The sequence below is a fragment of the Homo sapiens genome, chromosome 11, assembly GCF_000001405.40.
Source record: "Homo sapiens chromosome 11, GRCh38.p14 Primary Assembly".
NCBI lineage: Eukaryota > Metazoa > Chordata > Mammalia > Primates > Hominidae > Homo > Homo sapiens.
This window is the reverse complement of record NC_000011.10, coordinates 113445761-113471244: the sequence shown is the minus strand read 5'-3', so window position 1 is coordinate 113471244 and position 25484 is coordinate 113445761. Positions and strand designations below refer to the sequence as shown.

Below are 25484 nucleotides of genomic sequence, written 5' to 3'. Positions count from 1 at the left end.
GATTTCTTTCCTCTGTACTTAAATGGATGCAAAACTTTCTTATTTTTTGACAATAGAATCATATTATCTAAATGTACAGGCCTGGAAAATAGCTTGATTATAGTGTCAGCACATGGGGATGGAGGAGTAATAAAACTATAAGACTCAGCCACTTGGTTTTCTTTGATTTGGGTCCAGAGAAAGGAGAGAAATTTGCCCTCAGAATTGCAGATTTTTCTTTTCTTTTTCCTTTCACCTTAATCTGGTAAATGGGTTAAATCAATACCCTTGGCAGCTGGGATGCCCTTGGAAGGCACAGCCTCTTCTCTCCCTAGGATACATGAGAGTGTTTCACTGCAGAGGGGCCAAGGACCCTGGTGGCTCTAGTGTATAGGGAGGAGTCAGAGATGACACACTGGGGTCTGAGGCCTCCCTCTTCCCCTGGATAGAAGAAACTGTGCTGCTGCAGTGCTTTGAACTCAGAAGCCTGGAAACTCCTAGGGGCATTTGGGAGAGTATGGGACAGTGTACAGAGGTGAGAGCAGAGGAGAAGTAGACTCTTAGGAGGCCCTGAAAGAGGCTGATGTTAAATATGCATTGAATATAGGTATCAGCTTAGTGTAGTTTGGGCAATTTTGTCATAATCTGATGTCACCTGTAAGGATTTTTACTTTTTCCAGTAGGAGATGAGGGAATTCTTTGCTGTCTGAAGGGACAGGGAGGGGAAGGAGGGAAAACCTCTGGTTTCCCCTGCAGCCCTCTGGGTAATGTCAGCTTGCTTCCAGACAGAGGGCGGTAAGGGAAGTCAGGCAGACCTGGCTCCCAGGAGCTCCATCAATAGGCCTGCAGTTAGCCTGGGCAGTCCTGCCTTCCAGGAAGCTGTCGCTCAGCACAGAACTGCAGCTGTGGCCCCAACGATAATCCCCTGCAGATGTCTGGGAGCCAAAGGGAGTCCTGGCGCCTGTTCATTTGTTATTGGTCTCCTTCAGAACGTGCCTGCCCTTCTCATTTCCACCCCCTCCTTGTTGTTATTGTTTGGGTTCTAAGTGGCCCAGCAGGAGAAAGACATTAGAAATGAAATTATTTTTGTTACATGCTACATCATTGCCTCCTCTCCTACCTGCTACCCCAGGCAGCACCATCACTAGCAACTCCCAGGAACTCTTGATATGGGAAAGTGGCTTAGTACCAGGCTTCCCTAGAATGAGAAGTGGTCCTGTTCACCAGACCCTCCTTTGCTGGCCTCATCATCATAACGGCCAGCATTTATTGTGCACTTACTGTGTGCAGGGCGCTGTGCTCAGCACTTGACATAGGTTCTTCATTTAAACTCCCAATCCTGCAACAACTCTGTGAAATAGGAACCCTTGTTTTTACATTTTTTGTTTGTTTATTATTTATTTATTTATTTATTATTTTCATTTTTAGAGAGAGGTCTTGCTCTGTCACCCAGGCTGGAGTGCAGTGGTGCAATCATAGCTCACAGCAGCCTTGAACTCCTGGGCTCAAGTGATCCTCCTGCTTCAGCCACCCGAGCAGCTGGGAGTACAGGTGCATGCCAGCATGCCCAACTAATTTTTTAAAGAATTTTTTGTAGATATAGGGCCTTGCTTTGTTGTCCAGTCTGGTCTTGAACTCCTGGCTTCAAACGATCCTCCTGCCTCAGAGTAACCCTTATTATTCCATTTTGCAGAGGAAGAAGCATAGGCTTAGAAAGGTAAGTGGTTTGCACAAGGTCACACGTTTCATGTGTGAGACAAAGATTCAAAACCAGACTGTTTAAGGCTAAAGCAATAGCCCTCTCTGATACGTAAGTGGCATAAAGAACAAGAAAAGGAGGAGAATAGGGATAAGAAGATAATTCTTTAGTGAATGAAAGGGCAGTAATCTTTGTGTATGATACCAGGAAAGTGAAGAGGGAGACAGCAGATGGAGAAGGATGAATAAAATAACTCCTTGGGATTCTTAAATTTGAGAACCAGCGAGGAAGTGTTCTGTACCTGGATCTGGGTCCCTTTGGATGAAATGCACTGGGCGTAAACCTCAGCAAGCAGTGGGAGCAGGAGGGAGGGCGGCAGGAGCAGGAGGGAGGCAGGGTCAACTAAGCCTTCCAACCTGGGGGAGGAGCTGGGAGGAGGTGTAGACGGATGTTTTGTCAAGCTCTTCTGGAACTGTGATGACATTACCTTCTGTCCCACATCTCTTTGAGGTGAACTGAACTGTCCAAAGGATGAAAGCCAGACTTCTGCCAACAATTAGGTCTTTGGGTTTGCTTTCTTATTACCATAGAAGGAAAACTTGTTATATCTCCAAGACTAAGCTTCCACATTTTACAGAAATGTGAGGGCGGGATGGCCTGGGATCCTGGACAGACACAGGAGTGACTCATGAGAGCTGCCTTTAAAAAATGAGCTGATTAGCCAGACGCGGTGGCTCACGCCTGTAATCCCATCCCTTTGGGAGGCTGAGGTGGGCAGATTGCTTGAACTCAGGAGTTCACAACCAGCCTGGGCAACACAGTGAAACCCCATCTCTACTAAAACACACAAAAAAATTAGGATCTGGCAGCATGCACCTGTGGTCTCAGCTACTCAGGAGGCTGAGGCAGGAAAATTGCTTGAACCTGGGAGGTAGAGGTTGCAGTGAGCCAGTATCGTGCCACTGCACTCCAACCTGGGTGGCAGAACGAGACTCCATCTCAAAAAACAAACAAACAAACAAACAAAAAACAAAAAAAACCCTGATCAATGCTTTTCTGATAGACAGAGGCAGGTGAGGCCTGGATGTCCCTGGGCAGGGCACTTAACCTGCTCATCAGTTATTTCAGGCACAAATAAGGGACTGTAATAATCGTGTTCACCTCATAATAAGTGAGAAGACTCCTCTGTTGTTGAGCCTCACCATGAGTTTTATGAATGACATATATCAATATTTAGTCACCTATTTAAACCCTTTAAAAACAACACCATATGGTAGTTAAACCTGTGGGCTCTGGAATTAGACTTCCAGGATTTGAATCCTGACTCTAACACTTACTAGCTATGTGACCATGAGCAAGTTAATTAACCTCTATCACCTGGGGGTTCTCACCTGTAAGTGGATGTTAATACCAACATAATTGGGTCACAGTAATTAATTAAGGTAATAGAGACAAGACATTTGAAAGAGTCCCTGGGAAAAGTGAGTACTCTTTAAATGTTAACTGTAATGATTGTTATTGTTATTATTAAGATGCTTAAGTAAGAAACAACACTTTGAGCTGTTGTCCTTTTGCAGTAATTCAGCACCTGATTTTACATTTCTGAAATCATGTTTCTAAAACGTTCACAAAATTCAAGGATATACTTCTTTCTTACACTCTCCACTTATCTGCACCAAAATTCTTTGGCTTTCACCTGTCAGCAGCTCTTGCTCATTTTGAGCGAGATAGGGGTTTGAATTGCTTGTCATCCCTTTGATTTAGGTGCAGCTGAATTCATTTCCATCTTACACCACATGAGCTAGGAAGAGGCATAAGTTATCCTGGTGATAGCTTTTCATGGCCTAATTTTTCTTCCTGGTTTCCTGGGCTCTGTGTCTGCTACCTCATGGTTGGAGCCTCCCTGATTGGCAGTGTCACATGGTATGTTGCTCTGGCACAGGCCAGTTTTTATTAAAAACAAAAAACAAGGAGAATGTACTGGTGTACAAGGACAAGGTGACTTTTTTTCTTTTCCCAGATTGAAAGGGCCAAAGAACTTCACATGAGCAGACCCCCAAAGCTGGCAGAAATATGTGTTCTGCAGCTTCTGGAGTCATTCTTGGCAGGAGCAAATGCTATCATGTTTTTAGGTGAAGTATGGTCCTGCCTGAGAAAGGAGGATGGAAACAGTAGCTTCTGGTCCTGAGATTCCCCAGTGCATAAAGATAATCCCTCTTGTTGGCCTTTTTCTTGGTCTATGAATCCCTTCTTGGGGAGGACTCTCTTGTAATTGATGTGCATCTATTTCTGGCCAGCTACAAATGCTCACCATTTAGCTATGGTAGAATATTTCAGAAGGCACTGTAGGTATTCTGTTCCTGGGTCATCTTCCTTGGTTCATCCTTTTTTGGACTCAGCCCTTTCAACTCTTTCACTCATTTATGGCAGGGTCAATAAGAGACATGTGTTGACAAGCAGAAACTAACTTCCAGGGTCCCAGGCAGAGGATGTCAGCACCGCCTCCCACCGCCTGCCCCCGCACCACGGTGGATCCATGTTTCCACACACTATTTTTCTTTAGTAGTATGTGTAGTTGAAGGTCTGGGATCACTCTAGAGTCACATTGTGACTAATGACACAAAATCTCCCTTGTGGCCTGTCTTCTGTGAGGAGCCAACTTAATGCTTAATGCTAATCTCTCAATTGTGCATTTCTTGTCTTCTCCACCAGACCATGAGCTCCTTGAAGCAGAGAATTTGTCTCATGCTTCTCTAAAATCTATTATAACCTAAAATGGTGCTAGGCACTTGGTAGTTACTTAAATTGTTGAGTGAGAGTGGGTGAGTGGATAAGTGATGGGTAGGTGAGAGACAGCTTACTTCCCCATAGCGACACTCTCCCTCTACTTTACTTGCAGCTTAACAAGAGTGGCAGTGTCTGAGGCATCCCCCACTAGAGGTATCTCATAGGTCAGCAACATACTTCATGCCTTCTCTCTTTCATCCCTAACCTGCACTATCTGGCCACCCTCAGCCATGAAGACATTATAGGTTGGATGGAAATTTTTCGCAGTTGTCACAGGGCATGGAAGTTGGGGAATATTGAATGGTTGGAACCTACTTCAATCAGACACACTCATGGAGAAAATGCACTGGGGGGGCTGTTGAGGAAACATACACAGGTGTGTTTGTTCAGGTCAGCCTGGGGACCTGAAGACAAAAGAGCTGTTATTGAGGGATGCCATTAGTGCTTTGGTGATTTCTGTGTTTAGACTTTGGGGAATTGGACTAGTCCTTACTTTAAAAGGTACAGATAAGCATGATTATACCCAAGACCCTCCAAACGCAGTAACAGTTTGAACCTATCTTTCCACAAAGCACTTTTAAGAAGTGGGCTATGCATCCCCTGTCCCTCTAGTTATTTAGTTAAACAAAGTGGTTCAGAGCACTCAAAAACCAGGCTAATGCAGGATCAGATCTTTGTTCTATCGGTCATGAGCTATGTGACCTCTATCAAGTTACTATCACCCCTTTGAGATGCAGTTCTTTATCCCTTCATAAAACAGGATGACTATATACTTACCTGATTGGGTTTTGTGCAAAGGAAATGAGTCACGCACATAAAGTGCTTGTCTCAGTACCTGATGCATGGTAAGCTCTCAGCAAACATTCACTATCATTATCCTTATCGTAATTATCAGTGGGCAGAGAAGTGTCCACAGAACCCTTCCCAACCTGTGCTCCAAATTTTATATTCTCTCTTCTGGAGGGAAGAAAGACACCATTGCAGATGAAGACATTAGACCAGGTATGAATTGGCATAGAGTGTTATACTTGAAAGAACCCAATGTTACACAGCAGAGAAGTAGGAGAGCTGGACTAGAACTCACTTCTGCCCAGGGTTTTTCCTCCACACCTGGCTCAGGTTAGACCATGGAGTTTTGAAGAAACTCAGTGGCTAATGAATGGGATTTGAAGTGAAGATGGTACAAGGTAAGGCCAAAGGCTTAGGCAGGGGCCTGACTATGAACCTTGAAGTCTTATGTAGGAGACTGGATTCCATCCTGAGGGAAAAAAGAAGCCAACTTGAAGGATTGGGTTTTAAGCACAGGGACAACTCCAGTGATTCAATTTGCAGTAAAACAAACAAACAAACAAACAAACAAACAAACAACAACAACAACAAAAACTGGCCAGGCATGGTGGCTCATGCCTGTAATCCCAGCATTTTGGGAGGCCAAGACAGGCAGATCACTTGAGGCCAGGAGTTTGAGACTAGCCTGGCCAACATGGCAAAAGCTCATCTCTACTACAAAACTTAGCCGGATGTGGTGGCTCACACCTGTAATCCCAGCTACTGGGGTGGCTGAGGCACGGGAATTACCTGAACCCAGGAAGCAGATGGTGCAGTGAGATCAGGCCACTGCACTCCAGCCTAGGCAACATAGTGAGACTGTCTCAAAAAAAAAAAAAATCACAGAGGCTGCTATGTGGGGGAACTGATTATAGAAGATTCAAGACTGGAGGCAGAGTACCTAGGAGAGTTTGCAGTTGTTCAGGACAGCAATGCTGGCAGCCTGATCTAGGGAGGGGCAGTGGAGGTAGGAAGGCTTGAAAGACCTGAAAAGATATCTTAAATTCGCCAGAACTCAGTGATTGATGGGCTATGGAGGATGAGGGGAAGAGAGAAGCCAAGGATGATTTAAGAACAATGAAGCAAGGGAATTAAGGATATCGGTAAAAGTGTATGCATATTGGGCCAGAAACCTAAGCTGGATTGAAAGGGAAGGGAAGATAGGCTGATAGAATCGGTGGACTGATGGTGTTGATGAAATCAGAGAACTGGTATACTTGGAATCACTGAGCACTTGAACTGGGCTGCAGAGGCAATTGTGGTCACACAGTGGAGTAACTAAATTTGTAACCTCAGAGAGGAACACCCCTGGCGATGTCAGTGCTCAGAATGCACTCATAGGAGCAGGTGACTAATGTGAAGGGTGTGCTTGGGGAGTAGGAGGCCAGGCATCAAGAGGCCAAGCTGTTGGAAGTTGATTTCACCTGAGTTCATGGCACAACTTGGGCTGGAGTTGAAGACAGTGAGCTAGTGCCAAAGACAGTGAGGGAGGGGAAGTGACCAGGAATGTATGGATGGCAGTGACAAAGAGAGATAGAGTGGGCATAAATGGTTGGTGGGCACCTGAAAGGAACAGAGTCTTTATGAGAGGGTAGGGGAGGTGGTAATGAGGCACAGGGATGTGGGGCTGAGCACTTTCCTGGAAGGGCCGCAGCGGAAGTGGTGCCCTCAGTTGAGGCTGGGAGGGGAGGGGCTGCTGCCGCCATGCAGTACACACCTCCAGTGTAGGTCTTCTCATCCTGCTTTTCTCTTCCGCTCCCTCCGTGGCTCATGGAACCCATTCCTCTCCATAGCTACAGAGAATGGAAGAAAAACAGAAGAAAGGTGAAGACAGGGTGGCAAGTGGGTATAAAGATGTGGATGAGAGAGCTGAAATAGGTGGAAGTTACAGGGAATAGGAAAGAAAATGGATCTGTGGACATCCATTGTTCCTCTGCACCCAGTGTGCCACCTGTAACCTTCTAACATGTTGTGTTGTTTTCTCTGCCAGAATGCTCCAGCCCTTAACTTATAAGGTTAACTCCTACTCAGCTTTTAAAACAGAGCCCAGGTATCACCTCTTCCAGGGAGGCTTCCCCAATTTTCCTTCCTACACTCTTTCACCTACCTGGGCCAAGGGCCTCTCTTCTGTATTTCTCTAGCATACAGTATTGAGTTATGTTGTCATTGCTTATTTACTGGTCTGTTTCCTTCCCTAGATGGTAAATTCCTCAAAGGCTGGAATGGAGCCCTTACCTCTCTAGCTCCAGGTGCCTGCCTGCTGCACTGCACAAAGTGGGACTGTCATTGAGCCCCGCCCCCGCAAACACGCATGCACACCATAATAAGACAGCAGCAGGCACTGTCCTCTGCTCATCCCTGAAGTCCTCCACATTATTAAGGCAGGCTGGAATGCTCCTCCAGCAAGTGATTCAGACGAGACATTCCAGATTGTCAAGGCTGTAAAGAAAGGGACCTACACTAACTCTACACATGAATGAGAAAATTGTACTTGGAGAGGGAAGTAACGTGTTCAGGGTCTCATGGCTGCTTGGAAGCAGACCAGTCCCAGATCTGGGACCCGTCCCTGACACGGCCCACTTCCTACCATGCCAAACCCCGTGCCCAATGGCCACAGATGGTGTGCACCACACTGTGGCTGCAGGTAGCCACATTAAAAGTTTCCCCAATTTAACCAGCTCCAAAAATCATCCTCTTGTCCTTTCTTCTCATTTCTGGGTTCAAAATTGCTGATTTGGTGAGCCTTATTATTCAGCTATACTCCACTGCCTGGGAAATAGAGATAAGTGAAATGTAAAAGTAGGACCAAAATACTTATGTATTTTGAGGGGTTCACTTTATGTGATGGGGCTACAGCACCACCAACATTCCCGTTTTCTCACAGGGAAGCAGATTAGGCAAGTCAGTGCTCAGCGTATCACGTGACGTGCATATGCTCCTTGAATGCTGTGCTATTGTCTTTAATAATACTAACCACCTAAGGTCCACTGATTACTCCTACATCATCAGTCATATCTTAGGAACTGGGCAGAAGGGAGGGGGCAGGAGAAGGGGGAGTTTCTGGGTGTTCCATCTAGCACATGCGTGGGAAGTAGTAGGATGCCAATAAATACTTGTTGCATAGATGAAGGAGTGAATGAGTGAATATTTTCCTCTTGCAGAGCAGGCTGAGATTTGCTCAGAAGCATGTAGAGCAGATTGGCTGCCCACCTGTGTGGGCTCCCTGAGACCCAGGGCATCCAGAAAGTCTCCAGAGGGAGAGGGAAGGTGGGAGAACCTCTGTAGAGCTCACAGCCACATGCCTTAAACACTGCTCCTGCATGGAGCATGATACCTGTTCCTGCATGGCCATGCTTCCTCTAAAGCCTGCAGGGGAGGATACTGTCTTGTCTCTTCCAGCTCCCCATGGCTCCTGGCGCTCCTTGGCATGTGGCAGCATCACCCCAATCTCTGCCTCTGTCTTCACATGATTGTCTCTCCCCCATGGCTCTCTGTCTCCTCTCTGCTTCTTATAAGGGTACACCAGGTGTTGATTTAGGGTCCACTGTAATCCAGAATGAACCTATCTTATCCTTAACTAATAATGTCTGCAAAGACCACTTCCAAATGAGGTCACCTTCTGAGCTTCCGGGTGGACATGAATTGGTGGATGTTGGGGGCTTGGGGGTCGGAGGGGAACACTCTTTACTCCTGTAAGGGAGCTTCCTGCCTTGGTGGATCCTGTTCCTTATAGACATCTTTTGTTTCCTCCAGAGTAGGACTGTTTTCCTTCCTAGTCACCTGTTTGGGAATAGCTGCCCACTTATCTAATTGAAGCCTCATCTCCTGAGTTAGAAGGCAAATGAGGACAAGAAAGAAAGCAATTAGTACAACTGGGAGTTCAGGATTAAAAAGGATTCACTGACCTGCTGGCACAATGGTTGGTAAGGGGGGAAAGTAAAGGGAGTTTGGAGGAAGAGAGGGGAAGGAAGGGGGTCCCTTGAATGTTCCAGCAAGGGAAGGCCCATGGGAACCTGGATTTCTGGGGCACTTGGGCACAGGCCCTGTGAGGGTGGTGATTGGGCGTGCATGTTAAATGCCTTTTATAGTCATAAGAAACTCAGGAATTGCTCCCCGTGAGGGCAGCTGGATGTGCATATTAAGTGCTTTATATAGTCATAAGGAACTCAGGGATTTGAAGTTGTTTACTCAATGTTCATTCTACAAGCATTTATTAAATGCCTCCTATACACCAGGATCTCAGACTAATGCTCTAATTTCACAGATGAGCACACTGAACTCCGGTAGGCCAAGTGAATTACCCAGGATCTTTTGGGGGCAGAGTCAGGACTAAAATCCTAGTCTTTAACTCTCACCATGCCTCACACAAAGCAATGTTCTTCTCTTATATACTCCAGTCTGCCTTGGGGGATCCCTCATCTCCACCAGGTAATAGTAATAATAGTAACAACCCCTGCTTGACTGTGCCCAGGGTGTGTTTCCAGAAGTCATTTTACTGCTGCTCCCTGATGTGTGGGGTGGAGGCAGGGGTAAGGAGGGCTTCCTGACTCCTGCCATTGAGTTCAGCTTTGCTGGGGGTGGTGGATGGGAGGCCTGGGACCTGTACTCTCCATAGAGAAGAAGATCAAGGACCTCTTAGACAAAACTAGCGGGACTCACTCTCTGAAACTGGGAGCCCCATCATTAAGTTTGCCCAGCTGGCCAGTCTGTAAGGACATAGGGGATGCTGATGGTGCTAGCAAGGTGTTCTGGGCCCCTGTAAATGAGGATCCTGTGGCCTCGCAGATTCATCTTCCAACAGGCCTGTCTTAGCACACAGGTGGCAACATTTGGTGCTGTCTGTAATATCTCCCAGCAGGTCTGAGCCTTCAGAGCCTGCCCTCTTGGGCTTTCCAATCTGGATGTCTCTGATGACCCGGTCCATAGCTTAGTAATTACTTGTTGAATGACTTGAGTAAGTCTGGAGAAAAAGTTAACTCCTTCACTGTGATAGGTGAGGGAAGGTATCAGAGAAGGAGGTACAGGGGATTTCCAAGGAGCTGTTCTCAGGCCAGCTTTGGGACTTGAGGCCTTGGAGGCTCCACCTGGGACTTGGCATTGGGCCTTCACTACCTCCCTGAGTGCACAGGATGCTGGAGCCTCCCAGTTTCTCTGGCTTTCATCTCGTCTTCATCCCTGGGCAGCTCCCTGCCCTCTGCAGCATCTCCCCACACCCTGTCTCCACGGTAACGTCACAGCCACAGGAGTCCATAATCCTGGTGGGAGGAGAGGAGCAAAGGGCAGGGACAGGGGCACATGTGGCCAGCAGTGTCCATGTGCCTCTGAGCAGCCAAGCTCCCACAGGCCAGGGAGGGTGCCTGCCCCAAAGCCTGGCAGCAAGGAGGGGCCAGGGCAGAGGGCCCCCAGGCAGTGCCTCTGAACATTCTTCTGTCTAGAAAAGGAGCCAGGGAGCTCTTAAGCAACAGGTGGAGCCTCTGACCCCAGGAAGCTTTTGGAGGCTGGCAGCTCGAGTGTCTCCCTAGGTCAAGATCACAGCCAGTCCAGCTTGAGGCAGAACCCAGATTCTCTGTGGCTCAGGAAAGTCTGCCCACCTGAGTATCCCCACGTCCTCCCTCCCTGTCCTGCCCAGTCCCTGTTCCATCAGCCTGTGGCAGCACACAAGTGCTGCTGGGGCTGGGGGTGACTGGGGAGGGCAGGGCACCAATGCCAGCCAGGAGAGGGCAGGGTCCACTGGCAGCTTCGACCCTGGAGCAGCCCCACTGAGGGAACTGGAATAATGGTTGAAATGAGCAGCTTGTCTGAAGACAGTCAATTTGATAGTGCCTCTAATCATAGCCGCTGAGTTTCTGTCTGCCAGACACAGAGATCCAGGAAAATGTAATAGAATGGACACAAAAAGCAAAGAAATGCAAAGTAGAGCTGGAATCCCATAGATTTCTTTCTTCCCAGACCCACAGCACTATTCCTTGGGGCCCACTGCCCAGTTTCTTTGAAGATTTGGCAATCTGCTAATTTGCTGATTAGCAGTACACACATAATAGTTGTACATATTTTGGAGGTACATGTGACAATTTGATACGTGCATGCACTGTGTAATGAACAAATGAGGGAAACTGGGATATCTGTCACCTCAAACATTTATCTTTCCTTTATGTTGAGAATATTCCAATCTTCTCTTCTATCTATTTTTAATGATACAATATGTTATTGCTAATTAGTCACTGTACTATACTATTATTGGTAGATCTTATTCTGTCCATCTAACTGAATTTTTGTATCTATTAACCAACCTCTCTCCATCTCCCCCTCCCCTTCCCAGCCTCTGGTAACTACTACTATTCTCTGCCTCCAGGAGATCCACCTTTTTTAGTTCTCACTGCTCGGCTTTCTTTCTAAGGAAAATGGACTCAGATGGGTCTTTATGGAGGTCTCTAGAATTAGGAGTCTTAGGTTCTAGTCTCAGTTCTGTCATCTAACTGGCAGCTTAGGTATAGTTAACTTTTCTTGTCCTCTGATTTTTTATTCTAAAATGATGGTATTGGATTGGATGAAGTCCCTTACAGACTATAACCAACAACACCCGCACTTTTCTGCCTTTGTCCATCCAGAGCTGCATTGGGGGTGACAAACCTTGCTTTAAAACACATATTCTATTAAGGTGTTCATTTTTCAAGCAGATGCTTTCTTGCCCACAGTACATTCAATTTATCCAAGTGAATAATATCTACCACTTTCAAATACTGACTATATTATCTTCCTTATATGCATCAGCTTTAATCTCTGTGACAGCCATAAAAGATAGAAATTATTACTCCCATTTTACAGAGGAGGAAACGGAGACTCAGAGATAGAAAGTAAAGTGTTAATCAAGGCCACACAGGTGGTGAGAACTGAAGCTGTTATTTGAGCCTAGATCTGTCTGATACAATATTTCCATGCTGCCCCAGATCATATTTTCTACATATGCTAGGTTTATCTTCTTCACTTTCATTATGATATATATCACAACATATGTGATGGCTTGCCTCTTATTTCCCCCTGCCCCATCGCTGCCCCCAGCATGTGAGGTCGATAATGACCTCACATAAGATCTTGCCCTTGGTGTTTAGTGCATAGTAGACCCTGAACATTTGTAAAGAGGATGTACAAATAAAGGAATGAATATATTCCAAAATTTTAGAACTTGGGTAAGTTGGAGACTGCTTTTAAATATAGAAGTATAGTCCACAGTGCCAAAATAGTGGGCATTCAATAAATCCTAATTTATATGCAAATGTGTACACACACACACATGCACACACACACAATAATCAAAGCTTGTTTGTGATGATATACACACAGCATAAGTTGTGGTGGACCAGCATTTTTTCCCCCAGATCAAAACTGGTACATAGCCTTTCAAATAAATTAGTGCTTTAATCTTAGCTGATGCATTTGAAGGAAGGAGTATATCCACATGCCAGTGCCAGGGTGATCCTGTGGCCTCTCCAACAGAAACCATAGAGGGCTGTGTTTTCAGAAAGAGTAAACACAACCTTTTCTCTCATTTTTTTTTTTCTGGTGATATTTGTAGGCCCACACCTGGCATCCCATATCACCCATGTGGGTCAGAGATTACATATGCAATAAAAAAGGAAATCAAAGCACGAAATGAGGAAATTACTGATAACAGCATTTATCAAAAGGTGAGGGCAGAAAATCATTTTAAAATTTAAAAACAAAAGCCCATACACTGTGTGTTACAGGGATGTGTGTGTTTATATATAAAAATTGCTAAATACCCAGGTTAGGCACCATTTAACCAGCAGAGCTGTTGCCTCAGGCAGTTGTTTTTCTAATTGCAGGTCTCGGCTGTGTCACCAGCTAGCTGGGAGCCCAAGGGGAGCTAAGAAAGTCTTGTTCTGTCCTTTGAATTCCTTTTCAACAGTCTGGCTTCCCTACCACCCAGGAGGGCACAGATCTTCCATGCCCCTCCCCAGCCCAGGCTGCTGCTGGCCTGCTGTGTCCCACCCACTGGGGAACAGCCCTTGGAACAAGAGGCTGCTGTTAGGTTCAGCTTCCAGGGCTGGGACATAATTGGCCCTGGCTCTAATGAGCAGGGCTAAGGTGGCAGAGCCTATCGCTGATTGCAACTGCTACCTGCAGAGGGACCAGGACAAGCATCAAGCTAACAGCTTGGAGAGCTGCCACTCGGACAGCCCATAATTTCCAAATTAGATACTTCAGAGGTCTGGATTTTGCTGTGCGGACAGAGCTCAGGGGCAGCTCTCGCAGAAGGTGGAGAACTTAGACAAATTTTCATTCATAGTCAACAGGGTCCCAGGCTCCCCTTTCTTCGTTTTTCATTTACATGTAAATAGTGGGGGGTCGGGGGGGTGGTAATGGAGAGGGGATTCTGGAGCTCAGTTCCTGGGGCAAGGGGTGGCAGGAGACCTTGAAGCCAGTGAGGCCGGTTCTATTGCACTCTTTCAACTCGGTGGAAGCAGAAGTACTATAAACTTTGTAGATTCATCCTTGAGGGCCCTGCCCAGAAATAGAACTGTACAGTCCACAAAGCAGCACTGAACAAGAGAACAGGGTCGCTTTGTATTGCTGAGATCTCCCCTTCTTGTTATTTACTTGTAGCTTTCTGTAATTGGATGAGTGGATATTTACTGAGTAAAGTGACATCTGTACTAGGCATATGTTCTTTAACTACCCAGACCCACTGGAGGGAGAGAGACCATCTGATGTGGCCACTGCACCTCACAGAGGTTGAGTGACTCCTCTAGGGAAGCGGCACAGTCAGGATTCAAATGCAGGTCTGTCTTCCCGGCCGCTACCTACGTACTGTCATCTGTCTCTCCCATTGCCTCCGGAGCTGCTTGGGTCTCCTGGTGTCAGTCTCCCAGCCTGGTGGCTCCTATGGTGGTGGCTGCCTCTCAAATGCTGCACATGGAGGCCCACGGTGAGCCCAGGGGTCCATTCATTCCTTTTTGCTGCAGGTCGGATGTGTGCATGTGAATTCCATTGGGGATCACAGTTTATTTTCTTTTACTGTGGTTAAAAAAATACATGATGTGAAATTTACCATCTTAATAATTTTGACGTGTACAGTTTGATAATGTTAAGAATATTTATGTTATTGTAAAATAGATCTCCAGAACTTTCTCGTCTTGAAACACTGAAGCTCTATACTCATTCAACACGAATTCTCCATGTTACTCTCTCTGCAGCCTCTGGCCACCACCATTTTACCTTCTGTCTCTATGAATTTGACTCCTTTAGATACCTCACATAATGCAGTATTTGTCTTTTTCTGCCTGGCCTATTTCCCTTAGCATGCTGTCTTCAAGGTTCATCCATGTTGTAGCATGTGACAGGATTTTCTTCTTTTTTTAAAAAAAATTGTATTTTTATTGAAAAATAATAATTGAATGTGTTTATAGGGTACAATGTAATGCTTCAATACATGTATGTATTGTGGAACGAGCAAATGAGGCTAATTAACGTACCCATCACCTCACATACTTATCATTTTTTTGTGGTGAGAACATTCAAAATTCATTCTTTTAGCAATTTTGAAATAGACAACTTGTCATTACTAACTATAGTCATGTTGCAATGCAATGGATCACCAAAACTTATTCCTGTTGCCTAATTAAAACTTAGTCAACCCTCATTCTGCCAATAGGCTCTGGTAACCACCATTTTACCTTCTACTTCTATGAGTTCAAATTCGTAGATTCCACATATAAGCAAGATCATACAATGTCTTTCTGTGCTTGGCTTATTTCATTTAGTGTAATGTCCCCTAGATTCACCCAAGTTGTCATAAATGACAGAATTTCATTCTTTGTAAAGGCTGGATTGTATTCCATTGTGGATATATAGATCACGTTGTTTTTTTCAATCTTTATCTGTTGATGGGCACTTAGGTTGTTTCCAAATCTTGGCTATTGTGAATAATGCCACCATAAACATGAGGATACAGATATCTCTTCAATGTGCTGATCTTAGTTCCTTTGGAGACACACCCAGATGTAAGATTGCTGGATTATATGGTAATGCTATTTTTAGTTTTTTGAGGAACCTGCATATTATTCTCCAAAATGGCTATGTTAATTTATATTTCCACCAACGGTTTATAAGTGTTCCCTTTTCTCTACATCCTTGTTACCATTTGTGGTCTACCATATTTTTGATAATAGCCATTCTATCCAGCATGAGGTGACATCTCATTGTGGTTTTATTTTGCATCTCCCTGACGAATAGTGATGTTGAGCATTTTTAAAAAATATATGTTGACCTTTTGCATGTCTTTTTTTTGACAAATGCCTATTCAGGTCCTTTGCACATTCTTAAACAGGGTTATTTTTTGTCTTGGTATTGAGTAGTTTGAGTTCCTTATATGTTTTGTATATGAGCTCCTTATCTGATGTATGATTTGCAAATATTTTCTCTCAATTTATTGTTTCCTTCACTACGTAGAAACATTTTAGTTTGATGTAATTCAGTTTGTTGATTTTTCTTTTGTAGACTGTGATTTTGGGGTCATATGCAAAAAATAATTGCCAAATCGACATCTTTTTTATTTATTATTATTTTTTTGAGATGGAGTCTTGCTCTGTCACCCAGGCTGGAGTGCTGTGGTGTGATCTCAGCTCACCGCAACCTCCACCTCCCAGGTTCAAGCAATTCTCTGCCTCAGCCTCCCAAGTAGCTGGGACTACAGGCGTCTGCCACCACGCCTGGCTAATTTTTTGTATTATTTTATTTAATTTTTTTAGTAGAGACGGGGTCTCACCATGTTGGCCAAGATGGTCTCGAACTCCTGACCTCGTGATCCATCCACTTCGGCCTCCCAAAGTGCTGAGATTACATGCATGAGCCACCGTGCCCGGCCCAGATCAACATCTTATAGCTTTTCCCCTATATTTTCTTCTAGTAGTTTTACAGTTTCAAGTGTTACATTTAAGTATTTATTTTAAGTTGATTCTTTTATAAAGGGTGAGACAAGCGTACAATTTCATTCTTCAGCATGTGGACAGCCAGTTTTCCCAACACCTCTCATTGAAGAGACTGCCCTTTTCTCACTGTGTGTTCTTGGCCTTTTTGTTGAGAATTGATTGACTATAGATGCATGGGTTTACTTCTTGGATCTCTATCTGATTCCATTAGGATTTCCTTCTCTTAAGGCTGAATAATATCCCATTGTATGTGGATACCACGTTTTCTCTATCTACTCATCCATTAGTAGACACTTAGGTTGCTTCCACTTCTGCTATTATGAATAATGCTGCAGTGAACATGGGTGTGCCTGGTCCAGGGAGCTCTGACTTTTACAAGGAGACTGAGTAGAGAGTGAAGCTTTTCTGTTCTGCCCTTCAGCCAGGACGAAGTACAGACAATGCACTAATCTGTTCCTGATCAAGCCCACTGGGACACAAGGGGGATGGGTGGGTCACAAGTTACAGAGGGAAAAGCCAGGGCTTTGGAATCAGATGAGTTTAAGTCCCAAGTCTGCCTTCTATGATCTGTGTGACCTGGAGCAAATTACTCAACCTCTCTGAATCCTAATTCATATATATATGTATATATATAATAATTATTATTTTTCCATGACGGAGTCTCACTCTATTGCCCAGGCTGGAGTGCAGTGGGGTGACCTCAGCTCACTGAAATCTCCACCTCCCAGGTTCAAGCGTGAATCCTAATTCCTTCACCTGTAACTAGATTATTGCAAGAGGACCATATAGTGTCCGCTGGTAAATATTTTAACAACTAGCTCTCCAAAAATAATAATGCTCTAATTTGAAGCATTTAATGATTTTATTGTGTAAAGACTCAAACTGTAGCTGATTTGAAGCCACCAACCTGCCTTCTTTAAATGTAGAGTGAGGAAGAGTGAGCCACCCACCAGCCCCAGCACACCACTGTCCATATATAAAATGTCTTTCCCAGTATTTGGGATGTGCCAGGTTCTCTGTTAATACTAGTTTCCTTCCTAATATTAGTTCCATCCTCCCCCCAGCCCCCCATCAAAAGGACTCTGGGTAACCTAGATAATAAGAATGATTGCTCAATTCTACACATTTATTTGACTAATATACATTGACCTTCTATCACATACAAAGCTCTGTCCTAGGAGTAGAGTAAAAGGTGCAGAGGAATAAGGAGGGGACTTTTAAAAAATCATGTGACCCAGCCCTGTCTTTAGGGAGTCCAGCCTGGGGGGACAACCCCTTCCGTGTGCCGGCATCTCCGTCATGGAACGTGTTAATCATCTGTGGACTTGTTTCTCTCCCTGCACTGTGGTCTCCTGGAAGATAATGACTCTATCTTGCTTATTTTGTTATCTACATTGCTTAGCATTTCTAAAGTATTCAATAAATAGTTGTCGAATTATTTTACGAACTTGAAATCTACCTAAGAAGGCATAACTAACAAATCCAAGACAGAGAAGAATACAAGAAAACAGGCAATCGTAATTCTAAAACTTCTCATTTGATAGGCATCTTACTACTTCAAAGCTTTCTCAGTTAAAATAGTTAACACGGACTGAGTGCGTATGGTATACCAGGCATCAGTATCCTCACTCAACATACATTATCTCATTGAAAATTTACAACAACTCAATCTGTACAACTACCCCAATGGGGTAGATACTGTTATCATCACCCCCACTTCCTAGATGAATAAAATGAGCAGCAGCAGTTAAGTGGGTTTTTCAGTATTTTTTGTTGTTGATATTGTATGCATGGAGCCAGGATGTGAACCTAGGACTTGATGTTTACTGCCCCATGGAGTAGAGAAAGTAGGAAACTTTCTTACGTACTCATTTGATAGGTGATAAAACTGTGGCTTAGAGAGGGAGATGGAGATTAAGTAACTTGCCCAAAGTCACTCAGCTAACAAGATGCAGAACCCCAGGACTAAAATACAGGCCTGCTAACTCCTAATAAAATAAAGAGCATAAAGTAAAGTATGGTGTGAAGTACTATAGGCAAAAAGGGATAGTGGCTGGGCAGGGTGGCTCACACCTGAAATCCTAGCGCTTTGGGAGGCCGAGGCGGGTAGATCACCTGAGTTCAGGAGTTTGAGACCAGCCTGGCCAACATGGTGAAACCCCGTCTCTACTAAAAAAAAATACAAAAATTAGCTGGACATGGTGGCAGAAACCTGTGATCCCAGCTACTCAAGAGGCTGAGGCAGGAGAATTGCTTGAACCCAGGAGGAGGAGGTAGCAGTGAGCTGAGATTGCACCACTGCACTCCAGCCTGGATAACAAAGCAAGACCTTATCTCAGAAAAAAAAAAAAAAAAGATGGGGACTGGTTCAGAGAAGGGCCATACTACTGGGATATCCAGTGGTCAGTGGTCAGTGGTCAGGGAAGAATTCCAGAAGATGTGTGGTTTGAGTAGGACCCTGGGGAGGTGAGGGTGGATCTGAATCAGCAGTGTCTCATTTCCTGTCCCCCAATGTGCGCGCGCGCGCGCGCGCACACACACACACACACACACACACACACACACACGCATGCACACCAGTGGCCCTAGCCCTTGCTCCTCAACATGGAAAGCAAGGGCTAAACTTCAGACAAGCTTTCCCCATCTTCTGGAAACCACAGCTTCACAGTTGCTGCTTTTCTTGTGTATTTATTTTTCAAGTTATTTACATAAAGGATCCACCGGCCCCTTGGCTGTCAGACAACATTGCCCTTTCTCCTGGCTTTTATCTGACTCCTGGAGAGGTTGTCATGCTCTCAATTACCTGAAACATGCCTGTGTCCCAATATGATTTGGGGTCAGCCACCTCTTACTTTGCAAGCAGTAAGTACTACAACCACAACGGCCGAACTTGACGCACAGATCCCCATTAAAAGAAGAAGCGTGCAGGCTTTCCTGCAGGCCTCTTGGGCTGCTGGCAGGCAGGCTGGGGTGTGAGTTGAATGTGTTGGGCTGGAGGGGGCCAGAGGAGGGGAGAAGAAATGGGACAATGGAGCTCACTCAGCTTCCTAATCCATCCCAGCTATGGAATTTTCCTGTGAATGTTTATTTTTTTGAGTCATGTACACTGTTAAAGTAATATTTTTCAAAAGATTAAAAATCTGTTTCTCAAACAATTACATGTCAAAGATTCATTTAACTCATGAATGAGACAACTAGCAGAATGACAAAGCTGGGTTTAAGAGAGGATACAGGCCTATAATCCCAGCACTTTGGGAGGCTGAGGCCAGTGGATCACTTAAGGTCAGGAGTTTGAGACCAGCCTGGCCGACATGGTAAAACCCCATCTCTACTAAAAATACAAAATTAGCCGGGCGTGGTAGCAGGTGCCTGTAATCCCAGTTACTTGGGAGGCTGAGGCAGGAGAATCACTTGAACCCGGAAGCAGAGGTAGCAGTGAGCCAAGATTGTGCCACTGCACTCCAGCCTGGGTGACAGAGCAAGATTCCATCTCAAAATAAATAAATAAATAATAAATAAAAGAGGATACAGGAAAAATTATATATATACATATATACGTGGAAGAAATCTGGAATAAGATTGCTAAATTAGATGCAAAACTTAATGTCTCACAGGGCAACAAAATCATAAGGCTTTGGACAATCTTCTCTACTGGATGGAAATCACTCACATGTTACCATCTTTTCTAACTGTTAGCATCTATCTCATAGGTTTAGGCCCTTTGTGGATGGTAAATAGTAAACAAACAAAACAGATTCTCCTGGAGAATCAAAGCCTGAGGTGGGCTTGCTGCCTTATTAACAAGTTTTGGATACATATTCTTAACAGCTTAAAAGAATCTAGCCAGTCCTGTGCAGTGGCGATTCTGCAAGTTGCTGAATATGCCTATTCCAATTATGTGTTCTGGAACCAGAGAGGTAACTACAGGGTGGGTTCACAGACCCACTGGACCCACTGTGAGAAGGAACTGAGCTAAATCTCCATTGATTGCCTGACCTCCAGAAGTCCCACCTTTGACTGGGGGCTACAGTGATGTTTTGGGTCTCCAGGAATTAGTGTCATTAGAGCCTGGTCAGAGCCCTCACCTAATCTAGTAATCCTCCAAAAGTCTATTTTATTTTCCCAATGCATAGTTACCCTGGTAAGGAGTGGTCCGTTTGGAGAAAGCTGGGAGAAATATTAACAATGTAAATTTTTGGCAGGGGTCTTCCTCAAGAGGACCAAATCTCTCCTTCATTTACGGGTTCTGCATCTGTCAATTGGCTCAAATCTGGGAATTAATCAGGGGCCATAACTCTCTGTTTTGGTGAAGAAAGTTAGACTTCTGATCACTTGATATAGAACTCTTCTACTTAAAGAGATTGAGTGAGAATGTAGTAGACTGCCTATCTATTTCTCTGCTAAGGATACCATGATCACCTAGCCAACACTGTTGGTCTCAGACTATTTTATTAACTGCTTTGGCTCTGCTGTCCATTAGGCTGTGGAGACAAGGTGGGGTTTGGGAGAGGAGCCTTTGAGGCAGAATGTTGAGATGTGAGTTCTGATCCTGCCTTTGCTACTAACTAGCTGAGTAATCTTGTGCAAATAGAGAAGCCTCTCTGGGCCAGCTTCTTCAACTCCTAAAGAGGGAGTAATAACCCTGCCCTGCTTGGTCAGAGGGCTGTTTCGAGGCCTTCAAAAAGCACAACAATGTTGTTAGCTCTGGTTGCTTGTTTGGCATTGGTGTTTTAGATGGTGTGAGTAGAGGATGCAAGCTGGAAGTGCTTTGGCTCAGCTAGTGTGATGAGTTAGTTGCCGGGATTTCATGATAGGGAGATTTCAAATAAAAGTTCCAATTTCTGTCTTCTTTTGAAATATTGTTTCCATTCTCAAATGGCAACAATAGACTAAGGATCCCATTCTCTCCAGTTTACCAGCCACCTCCCACTACTTCACTTGTGAACATTGCATTCGTGGAGGGTGGCAGGTGCAGCTCTGGATGCTGGGAATAAGTGCATACAAAATGGAAGAGATATGAACTGCACAGCGAGACAAGTGGAACAGCAGGGCTGGTGCTAATCTGAACGGTAGCTCAGGGAGCAATCAGTTCTACCCACAACTGCTCACTAAACACCGCCCCCTGATTTCTTTCTTGGCTCTCAGCCATTTTGCTCTGACTTTGGGGTGAATTTTCGCTTCTCTGGTAGTCTCTCTCTGGCTCCAATTCTTGGAAGACCCATCCGGCTTGTCTGAGTATATCCACTTGCTAGGTATTCAGACCATTTCTGCACTCTCTTCAACTGTTACTCCAGCTTAAAATCACAGCTTAACTGGCTAACAGTCCTCCCATGGCTGACACCGTCTTGGTGGGAGCAGCTCCGTGTTATGGCCGTCACTCTGCTAGCCCAGCATTTATTCATCTAGAAGTTTTACTGTGCACCTATGATGGCATGTGCTCAGGGGGAAGCAGCATTATGCTTTTCCAAGCCTGCCCTTGGCTCACATGATCTGCTCATGTTGGAAGGACGCCTACAGTTCCCAACTCACTTGTGTAGCACAGGTGCTTGACATGTCCAAACGTCATGAATGCCAAGGCCTTCCTGTCTCACCTGCCCAATTTCCCAGGGCATCTCAGTTTCCCTCCTCCCCCAGGGGTCTGGGACATGCCTCAACTTTACAATATTACCTTGGCAGAGCCTCCCATATCAGACTCTATGGGAGCACAGCAGGAAGAAGTCTTGATGAGCTCAGAGGGTTCAGGGAAGGCTATTCTAGGAGGTGGGCTTTTCCCTTTGAAGAGTTGGAAGGATTTGGACAGTTGGGAATGGGGAGGCAGGTGGAGAAATGGCAGCATTCAAAGGAGGATGAGGGGAAGCGAGGGGTACAAAAGTCACAGACTAGATCAACGCCAGCTGCAGTCTAGCCTGTCCACAGGAGGGGCCAGCAGGTAATGTGGGAAGATCAAAGACAGAGAGCTAAAGAATCTGGACTTTTCCCTTCAGGGGAGTCATAGAAGATATTTTGAGCGAGGCGGTGACATGAGCCTGAAGCCATGGCTTTGGGAGGTGGACTTGGTGGGCATGTGCAGGATGGTCAGGAAGGCAGGCTAAAGGTAGGGTTGAGAAGAAACTCTTGAATTTGGCCCCCTGCTGACCCCTCCCATCTCCTCCATCCTGCCTGGGTCTGTGGGCCTGGTCTCCTCTTCGCAGGCCCAGTGTGGTGCAGCTCCTTTAGAGGTGGCCAAGGAGAGCTACCCAGCTCCTTACCAATCCTTTCCACTCTAGGGAACCCGAATGAGGCCTGACCCCAGTCCCCTCTCGGAAGTGACAATGAGCTTGAGGAAGAGACAGAATAGACTGCTGTACCCGTGCCCTTGGATGAGGACAGTGAACAACACCAGGCCCTCTGGCTCTGTCTTCCTCCTGTTCCTCTCTCATGGCTGGGGCTGAGATGAAGACAGGTGATTAATACTGCTGTCAAGAGAGCATCACGTTGCAATTACTGAGATGCCACCTCCTTCAGAAGGAAAAATATTGTAGCAGTGACTCCTGGGCTTTTTAGAGTGGGGAGCAGCTCTGACAGGGAGCCAGGAGTCTCTGTGTTTCCAAGAATAGCCAGGGAGTTCCCCCGGAGCTTGAGGCGTGGTTTTCAGCCACCGTGCATCTGGGCTGGGCTGGGATGCTGGAATCACAGTTGCTGCCTGGTTCCTTCCAAGGAGCGGCTGCCCCAGGTTGAAGTCAGACCCCCTTACCCATTGCTCTGGGCTTGGGTGCTCTACTGGCCTATGGACAAGAGATCTCATCAGGACAGGAAAAGAACGTCATTAGACTCCTGCATCTTCCTGCCTCGGAGCTCATTATCTCTGGTGACTCACTCACTCCCTGTTTCGTGGTTCCATCTCGCAGAGTGATGATGACTTCCTAGCCTGAAGGTCCTCTGACTACATTCTCTGCTGCCAGACACCATCTAGAGCCCCCTCAGTATCCCTTTGTGGGATCTTACCTTCATCATGGCCTCAGACACCTGCTTTAACCACAATAGACAGTTGTCCCCAGACTGACAAGCAGGGAGGGCCTGGGCACCCTGAGCTCCCTCCTTCAGCTACTGGCCCCTCAACATGGACAAGGCTGGAGATCGCATCATGGCAGATTAGAATCTTAGGACTGGTGGGAGGAAGCCTTGTGTGTCCTCTGATGTGGCCACACATGTTTGTTACAAAAGGACATCCAGGGCCAGAAGAGGGAAGCCACTTGCTTGAGGTCACATGGTTGGAAATGTGGGGCAGAGCAGGGGCCAGAAGCCAGATGCTGACTGCCTGTCAGAATTCAGTCCCTACACACCCCGCCCCATGTCTGTCTGTCTTGCTTCATGGACCACTCACACCCCAGAGTTCCGCCTGCCTTCTCTGTTGCCCACCAAACCCGTGTGTGTTTGTTCGTTCATATGCAAGGTGAGTAGTGAATTTGCTGGCTGGCTCGCATCCTCTGCAGGTGCTGGAACAAGCAGCACTTTCTTTTCTTTCTTTCTCTCCTTTTTTTTTTTTTTTCAGAGGGTGGTATGGAAGCCTTGAATCCTGTCAAAGTTTCCTTGTTTTGATTCTCATGGGCACTTCCATCTGCCCATACCAAGCATTCTGTGTAACAGGGGTGTGCCAGAAACTGCAAATTCAATTAAAAGCCCGAGAGAGCTCCCCCAGGAAAGGCACAGGAGCGGGGAGAGGATTTTATGATTTAAAGAACAACATCACGGAGCCTGAGCAATTCCAGGGCAGCAGCAGCAGGGACAGACATGGGCACAACAGAACAGAGTGTGGCCGTGCAGCCCAGCGGGCCTCCCGACTTTACCCCAGGCCCCGGGGAGGGTGGGGCTGCTGTCTTTGGAGGCTGGAGCAGAAGTGGGCAGGTTTGGACTTGCAAGGGCTATGACATGCTAGAGGATCCCAAGTTCCCTGAGGGCATCTACACAGATCTGAGTTTGTTCAGCATTTGTGCAGCCCTCTTCTTGTCTGGTGTGAGTGCTGCTTAGGAGTCAAGACTGCAGATGAAGCCCACAGCAGCAAGTTAGGAATTCTGTCCTATCAGCCATCAGCTCCTGTGGCAATGGTGTGATGGTTCCTTGAAGACCCCTCCCACTTTGGAAACACAGGGAATATGCCTTACTGTCAGTGTTGGCCTCATCCTCACTCGCCACCAACACTGAGTTCCTAAATGGTGCTCTTACAGCCACGTGCCTCCACAGGACTTCTCTCTGTTTCTCATTTTCACAACTACTTGCATCAATGTGTACTGTACAGTGGGGACATGGGATTGAATTTACAGGATTATTATGAGGCTTAGCAGCAACATGGGTAAACTATTTCCAAATATCCCATCTTGCATTTGCAGTATGTTAATGTTAGTAGGGGGTGCCTCATTGCCACTGTGGAAACAGAGGTTTTGCAACTAGACAAACCCAGTCTTCCATCCTCCACTGCCACTTCCTAGTTGACATAGGTTATTAAAGGAACTCCCTTGGCCCCATTGGCATTATCTGTGAAAAAGGATTAGTAATGTTTCCCTTTTAAGGTTGCTTTTAGAATTAGGACAAAGGTGTGTACAGTGTGCAAGACAGTGTCCAGTATACGGTGAACAGTCAATAAACAGGAGCTACCGTTACTATGACTGCTGTGTTTTCTCCAGTTCTGACAGCAACTCTGTGTCTGACTCAGCGCCGGGGGTAGAAACTGGTCTTTTCAGCAGACGTGACTCTAAGGAGTTTGGATGAAGAGAGTGCCTGGGGAACTAGGGTGGGATCCATGGAGGTGGGGTGACTGTATCAGATCTGTCATCAGGGCTTCTGGAAAGGGGCGAGTGGGAAGGGGGAGCTGAAGACCCTCCATGTACTTCCCATGCATGAAGTGGGGTCCATGTGTCCCAGGAGGAGTGAAACATGCCGCTGAGGTCTGGCAGGAAGCAAGGGGACAATTGCAGGTCAGACACAGAGAAAAACTTACTGGGCCAGGACAACAGGCAACTCACTGGAACTCACGGACCCAGGCCCCTGGAAATGCTCCAGAACAGGCTGGAAAATGCCTCCAAGGCCAGGCCACCCCCAGCATCTCTGTAGCCAGCAGTGGCTCTGGAGACAGGCTGAGCTTGTTAGAGTCCTGCCTCTATCACCTAGCAGCTAGAACTGTGGATAAATTTTTGAAGTTCTCTGGGCTTCCGTCTCCTGGGAAATGGAGACGTGATGAGGATTCATGGAGAGCACATGTATAAGGA

The 25484-nt window shown here is 45.9% G+C and overlaps 1 protein-coding gene and 1 non-coding gene across 6 annotated transcripts in view; both read left to right on the top strand.

The window, feature by feature from the left end:
• Nucleotides 1-25484, top strand: part of DRD2 (dopamine receptor D2) — a 65794-nt gene that overhangs the window by 4154 nt on the left and 36156 nt on the right. The gene's annotated exons all lie outside the window — the stretch shown is intronic.
• MIR4301 (microRNA 4301) lies at nt 21157-21222 on the top strand. The gene has a single exon (NR_036183.1). It is a non-coding gene; the product is annotated as a microRNA 4301 (primary transcript).